Source organism: Homo sapiens, chromosome 11 (genome assembly GCF_000001405.40).
Source record: "Homo sapiens chromosome 11, GRCh38.p14 Primary Assembly".
NCBI lineage: Eukaryota > Metazoa > Chordata > Mammalia > Primates > Hominidae > Homo > Homo sapiens.
The window spans coordinates 95,024,029-95,031,555 of record NC_000011.10 but is presented as its reverse complement, the minus strand read 5'-3'; the positions used below and the strand labels follow the sequence as shown (position 1 = coordinate 95,031,555).

Here is a 7,527-nt window from a genome sequence, read left to right as displayed (position 1 = left end):
GAGTTCCCAGCAAACCCAGGAAGACCTCGTTCTCAGAGATATTCATGTCCAGTGGATGAAATCTCAGCTGGTGACACAGAAGTAGAAGTGTCAAGACATTAAAAGGTCTTGCAGGATAAAGAAGATATGATTAATATACTCAGCAGCACGCAGGTGCCTCACCAGAGGGGCTATCTCAGCACTGAAGGCTCTATAATTGTAGTGGTCTGAAAATGTGCCCAAAATCCTGAGATGTAAATGTGAGCAATATCAAGAAGCCCTCACTTAGTAGAGCAGTGAGGTATAAAGACTGACCATGGCCTCAGAGGCAGGGGCCCAGCAGCACCTAGAATCCTTGGCAGGATGCTGGATCCTGGGCTTAGTGGTGCAGGCCTGTTCATCAATGCTCCATCTGTGGGCAAGGACTTAGACTCAGGGCCTGAGGCTGAGGGCCTAAAGCTGTGTGCCCTGTGACCATCAAGAGGCACCTCCTGGCTGGAGCCTGGAGTATTGGCTCCGGAGCCCCCAGTTACAGAGGGCAAGGACCATGGCCACGTCTGTCAGTTGAGGGGTTCAGACCAGGCTTGGCATAGCTGGGGTGGGCAGTGGGTCCAGGCTAAGTTCGTGGGCTGGGAAGCATCACTGCAGGATGGAAAGGCCATGGGAACACCAGGCACAAGGGTAAGGCAATGGGAACCACAGCCTGAGGCCATAGGTTGTGTGGGTCATGACCCTGTTGACATGGGTGGTGACTGGGGCCAGGCTAGTCCTCTCCAGCACTTGGATCTTTCACCAGGTGGGCATCTCCAGGCTGGCATGTGCCCTGGACTCCATGGGTTCTGCAACTGCCCCAAATGACTGTGTTTCCACAGGTCATAGCACTTGGGTTACAGGATGCCCACAATGGCTTTCCCACCACTGCACTGAGACTCCACTTTGCCTGAATTGATCTATTCCATGGTGGCAAAATTCATGGCCTCCTGGAAGTTGAAGCCATGGTTGAAGCCAGCATGGTAACCATAAAGAAACCATTTAGAAGTTTAACCTCCTCCTTGAGTTTTCCCCACATTCAGCCTTATCAACTGCAACCACAACAAAATAAGTTTTGTCTCTTCCCTTCCATCAATTATAGTTCTAAAAATATTTTCAGTGGTTAATAGTGCAAATTCCATAAATTATTGACTGAAGTGCCTCAAATACCTCACATGAAGGAAAATGGTGGCTTGGGTCTAAAATATCTCACTATTAGATAAACAATTTTGTATTTTATTTTATGGAAGGATTCATTGCTGCCTTGTGGGTGAGAGCAAACCAAGACTGACTGTTGAATTTTATCAAATGACTATCAGCATCTATAATCATATAACTTCTGGATATATTTACAAGATAAGTTATATTTCCAGATTTCCTTGCTTTAAACTATTGTTTCCTTCCTGCAATAAATCCCATGTAGTCATCATATGTTACTCTTTTAACGTATTTAGATTCTCTTAGCTAATATTTAAGTTAAAATTTTTACCTTGATGTTCCTCAATAAGTTTTGTCCATAACTTTCTCTCATTCTGCAATTCATCAGGATTTTCTGTCAATGATGTATTTATTTTAAAATGTGAATTTTTTTTCTCATTTTAAAGGCCTAGGTATACTAGAAATGAAGATGTCACACAATTCCTCTGCAAGTTTGTCTAATCCTTGTCATTTTTGAATAGGCAGATCTTCTGCTCTTTCTATATTTCAGACACAGAAATTTAGTCTTAAATTTTTTGTGTCTAGTAAGTTAATTTTTCTAACAAAAAATCCATATTATTGGTGCTTTGTGTTGATTTAGTATACATTTTACAGTTATTCTAACTCATTAATTTCTGTGTATACATGTATCAATTCCTTCCAACTACTTTCAGTTTATCTTTTCCTAACTTGTACATTAGAAGTTTAATCCAGTTAATTTCATTATTTGAATATGATGGAGAAAATACTTAAGGCTGCAGATTTTCCTCAGCACTATTGTAAATGAATCTCATATATTTCTTTATGTATTTTATTAAGTTTTACATCTAGAAACACTCCAATAATGCTATTGTATCCCAAGCATTGATGTTAACAAATTGCATATATTAATTCATAGAACTGTCAACTACACACATGAGGTAGGTGCTATCTTCATTTTATGTTGAGGAAACTGAGTCATAAGGTTAAGTAATTTTCAAGGTCATACAAGCTGATAAGAGAAACTTGGGAACAAAATCAGGCTTTCTTGCTGCAGAGTTTATGCATGTAATAGATATTTATTGTTTTGTGAAAATTCAGCATTTTTGGCACTTGAAGAGAGGAAGTATTTTCTATCATCTAGTATGCCAATACTACCTTATTGTTAATGTAGTTTAAATTTTCCATATCCTTATATTTCTCCATTTTTTCTGCCTTGGATGAGTGACTATTTCATTCACACATTGCTGTAAAGAAATGCCTGAAGGCTGGGTGTGGTGCCTCACGGCTGTAATCCCAGCACTTTGGGAGGCTGAGGCAGGTGGATCACCTGAGGTCAGAAGTTTGATACCAGCCTGGCCAACATGATTAAACCCCATCTGCACTAAAAATAGAAAAATTAGCTGGGTGTGGTGGCAGGCACCAGTAATCCCAGCTACTCAGTAGGCTGAGGCAGGAGAATCGATTGAACCCAGAAGGCAGAGGTTGCAGTGAGCTAAGATTGAGCCACTGCACTCCAGCCTGGGCAAGAGTGAAACTACATCGAAAAAAAAAAATCCCTGAAATTGGGTAATTTATAGAGTTTTATTTGGCTTATGGTTCTGCAGGCTGTGCAGGGAGCATAGGAGCTTCTGCTTCTGGGAAAGCCTCTGGAAATTTACAATCATGATGAAAGGGGAAACAGGCACATCATAAATAGCTGGAGCAGGAGGAAGAGAGAGGGGGACGGTCGTACACACTTTTAAACAACCAGATCCTCCTAGAACTGTATCACAAGAATAGCACTATGGAGATAGTGCTAAATCATTCATGACAAACCACCCCCATGATCCAGTCATCTCCCACCAGGCCCCACCTCCAACATTAGAGATTAAAATTTCACATGAGATTAAGTCACACATATCCAAACCATACTGGTGACTTAAATGTTCCTATTTTTAATCTGTTTCTTTAAACTTGTCTTTTATGTACTATAATTTATACTATGTCGAACTTGAATATTCATGACTGCTGTAATGTCATTGTGAAATTTAGTATTTTGCATTGTGAAGATCCATGCTATGTACCTTTGGTCTCAATTCAGGTTTGCCTGATATTAAGATCTGTAAATCTACTTTTATGTTTGTTCTTTGCTTGGTATAGTTTCCCCATTCTTTTATCTCAATCACTTTTCTAAATCACTTTCTTTTTGATATATCTATTTTATATTATTCTAATTTAAAAAACATGCACTAAGACTTTTATTTTCTTTGGAGATATACATTAGAGACAGCAAATTTAGTTAACATCAGTATAGTTACAAAATACCTCTGAAGCCATAACTGGCTAAGTAACTCAGTTGGTCAAAAGGTCTAGTTTGTACATGAGCAGTGGACGGTGGCCTAGGATAAAGGGCATGTTGCAATTGAAGGATTGTGGGAAGCCCTGAACCTCACTGGGGTTGTAGCAATGTCCAGTGGAATCCAGAGTCAGAGACATAGAGGACCAGATGAGAAGTAAAAATGAGAGGCTCAGTAAGATTCTCAGCATCATCCAGTGTGGGCCCAAATTACCATGGAATCTGGACCCATAGCACTATAAGGGAGGTATCCTAAGGGGGACATCAGAAACAAGTGCTGTCCATGGCATCTGGCCATGGTGAAGGCCACAGGCAAATATGTGGAGTAGACAGAGAATCCCTGAGAGGTACTACAACATCCTATGGCAACCTTTGGGGAGGGGACTTCAGTGGCCTCTGGGAGCCCTGGTTGTCACAGTTGGAGACAGCATCTGGGGGCCTTGGAAATGTGTCAGTTACTGCAGGTAAAGAATCTTCTCTGATCCTGGGGTTGGAATAAGAGAGACACTGACATTTGTCACCATATTCCATAGCCGTGGATCCAGAGGATTGATCATGTATTGGAGGAAAATATCCCTAAACTCAGTGTCTTTAGACCCAGCAGATGAGTCAGGAGCCCAGGAGATTCTGGAAAACTTAGTTGGAGTCAGAACCCTAGAGCCGTAAAAGTGGTCCATTGCTACAGCCTTGCCCATGTTCACCAGGCAAGTGTCCCTGGTGAACTTAATCAGTTCCAGTCCCCACCAGTGTCCCTGGAAAACTTAATCAAAGGCACAATGACATTGGGAGGAGTCATGCAGACAACATCAGGGAGATTACTAGTAGTGCTGTTGAGGGATAGCAGGCACAGGCCAGGGTGCATGGTTTCATCACGATCCAGTGGGGGCCCCAGGAGTTGAAGATCAGGGACACAGCAGCAGCCAGAAGCCTTGGCAAGATGCTGAAGGCCACCACTCAAAGGGACAGATTTGTCATCAAATCATTGGCAAGCGGGAGCTGAGGCCTGTGGCCTTGAGCTCTACTCCTTGTACCCATTAAAAGGCGCCTCTTGGATGCAGGCTGAACAGTTGGCTCCTCAGTCCCCAGTTCTCGAGTACAACAACCATGACCACGACCACGACTGCAACCTCGACCTTGACCTTGACCACGACCACGACCACGACCAGAACCCCAGCTTCCAGTGGAAGGGAGAAGAACCCTGGCTGACATCCCCAGGGTAAGTGACTGGGTCTGGGTATGATATGCAGAGCTTTGGAATGCGGATCCAGGCACAGCATCAGTGCCACAGCCTTTTGGGTTGTAACAGTGCCCTGAGGACACAGGCTGTGTGGGACACTGGGCTGTGAGGTTTGGGAGAAGCCTCAGGCCCAGAGCAGCTCTTCTAAGTACTATATCATCTCTCCAGTTGCTCAGCTCTTGGCTTTCTGCAACCCTGGGCTCTGTGTGTTCCACAATGGCCAAGTCTTGCCTGTGTTTCCAGAGCTCATAACTCTCGGGTTGCACAATGCGCACAAAGGGGTCCATGGAAAAGGTCACTGTCGACTCCCCACAGCTACACTGAGAGGCCATTTTGCCATAATCAATCCATCGTGGAGTGGCAAAATTAATGGCTTCTGCGCAGTTGAAGCCGTGATTGAAGCCAGCATGGTAGCCATAGGGAAAGGTCACCATGAACTCCCCAGCCTCCTGAGTCATGCAATTGAAGGGAATCCCATTTTCCTTGAGAACTGTAGGCGAGATGAGGGCCACTTTGTGCCGCAGGAAGGCCTCACAGCCCCGAGAAATGTCTGGGAAGAGCTCCCTGGCCAGGCGTTCCAGGTGCTGACCATGTTCTGGGGGCACCACGTACCAAGTTTTGGGCTCCCCAAAGTGCAGGTAGTTGATGCTGTAAAGGTCCATGTCCTCTGTGTGCCAGGCAAACGTGGTCTTCCACATGCCAAAGTACAGGTAGGGTGTGTTGACACCCTCGATGACAACCCCACATTCCTGCTCCAACAGGTCCAGAATTGTTCCCAGGTGTCCTAGGTTCCATTGTTTAGTGCTTTCTTCAAATAAGGAGCCGCTGATATCAGCACCATAAATTGGTGGATTACCGGGGTGGCTCTTCCAGTATCGTTGCTCCAAATCTGCAAAATTCTGGTGTGGCGGAGTCTGATATTTTTTACTGTTTGCCAAGCGGCGATACTGCCCCACCCTCATGGCTTTCTTCTTTTTATGGTATTGAGTAAACACACCTCCCTGCCCAGAGGTCACCTGCTGGAGGGGAGTGGCTATTAAGATGTCTTCGATATCATCATACATCTGTCTGGCTTTCCATTCCTTGGGTGGAATTACCTTGGCAAGGCCAGCTTGATGTGCGCCTTGGGACTCCATGTAAGCAACATATGTGTTGAAATCTGCAAATTCTTCCATGGTTGGGTAAAACGTCATGATGGTATGACTCGTGTTCTGGGGACTGGAGTGCACAGACTTCATGGCTGCACACAAGAAGCAGCTGACTCCCACGTTCTTGGGTGTCCTCTAGATGCCTGAGAGTTCTGGGGAGTAATTTCTTTTCTCCCCTTTGTTTTTCAAAATACTTTGGTTTATCTGTGAGACAGTAATTCACACTTGGACTTTTGAACAAGTGAGATCTTTCACAGGCTTTCTGACTCCCCAGGGGGACTCCACTCTAGTCAGTATACTTTTTTCTGAAGAAGTAGAGTATGTCCCAGCTCTGTGAGTTTCCTCAGTTGGGGGTGTCACTGTGAGGCTTCTCCTGATTCTCAGGCTTGGGTGCACTAGTAGCAGCTAGTGTCCCACTGTACCTGGGGGTCTCTTCTAGGAAGTCGAAACAATACACCTAAACAACAACAACAAAAGATACAGAATATTCATATTTTTTAAATAAGTATATAACCAGACAAAAGAAATATTCAGCTAGCATTAAGCTAAGCTAAAACATATGCTAACATCAGGATATGTAAACATTGTCAGGCCTCTGAGCCCAAGCTAAGCCATCATATCCCCAGTGACCTGCACATACACATCCAGATGGCCTGAAGCAACTGAAGATCCACAAAAGAAGTGAAAATAGCCTTAACTGATGACATTCCACCATTGTGATTTGTTTCTGCCCCACCCTAACTGATCAATGTACTTTGTAATCTCCCCCACCCTTACGAAGTTTCTTTATAATCTCCCCCACCCTTAAGAAGTTTCTTTGTAATTCCCCCCACCCTCGAGAATGTACTTTGTGAGATCCACCCCCTGCCCCCAAAACATTGCTCTTAACTCCACCACCTATCCCAAAACCTGTAAGAACTAATGATAATCCCACCACCCTTTGCTGACTCTCTTTTTGGACTTAGCCCGCCTGCACCCAGGAGAAATAAACAGCCTTGTTGCTCACACAAAGCCTCTTTGGGGGTCTCTTGACACGGACACGTGAGACATTTCGTGCCGAAGACCTGGGTCAGCGGGACTCCTTCGGGAGACCAGTCCCCTGTCCTCACCCTCACTCTGTGAAAAGATCCACATACGACCTCCAGTCCTCAGACCAACCAGCCCAAGGAACATCTCACTGATTTTAAATCAGGCAAGCAGCTCTTTTTACTGTCTTCTCCAACCTCTCTCACTATCCCTCAACCTCTTTCTTCTTTCAATCTTGGCGCCACCCTTCAATCTCTTTCTTCTCTTAATTTCAATTCCTTTTATTTTCTGGTAGAGACAAAGGAGACACATTTTATCCCTGGACCCAAAACTCCGGCGCTGGTCACGGACTCGGGAAGGCAGCCTTCCCTTGGTGTTTAATCATTGTGGGGATGTGTCTCTGATTATTCACCCATGTTCCATTGGTGTCTGATCTCCGCATTCACCCACATTATCATTCACCCACATTCCCTTGATGGGCAAATCAACTGTGGGGACAGCTGCTTTGGCTGCTCCCCTACGTTGCAGCTCAGGGCTGCTCCCCACCCCCCTTCTCTGTGTCTCTACCCTTATTTTTTAAACTTGCCTCCTTC

General features: G+C 44.7%; 1 protein-coding gene and 1 pseudogene across 1 annotated transcript; both read right to left on the bottom strand.

The window, feature by feature from the left end:
* On the bottom strand, window positions 310-1,013 carry LOC100420802 (lysine demethylase 4D pseudogene; annotated as a pseudogene).
* On the bottom strand, window positions 3,960-6,298 carry KDM4E (lysine demethylase 4E). Its single transcript, NM_001161630.1, has one exon. The coding sequence runs from the start codon at window positions 5,996-5,998 to the stop codon at window positions 4,478-4,480; it is 1,521 nt and encodes a 506-aa protein (NP_001155102.1). The 5' UTR covers window positions 5,999-6,298; the 3' UTR covers window positions 3,960-4,477.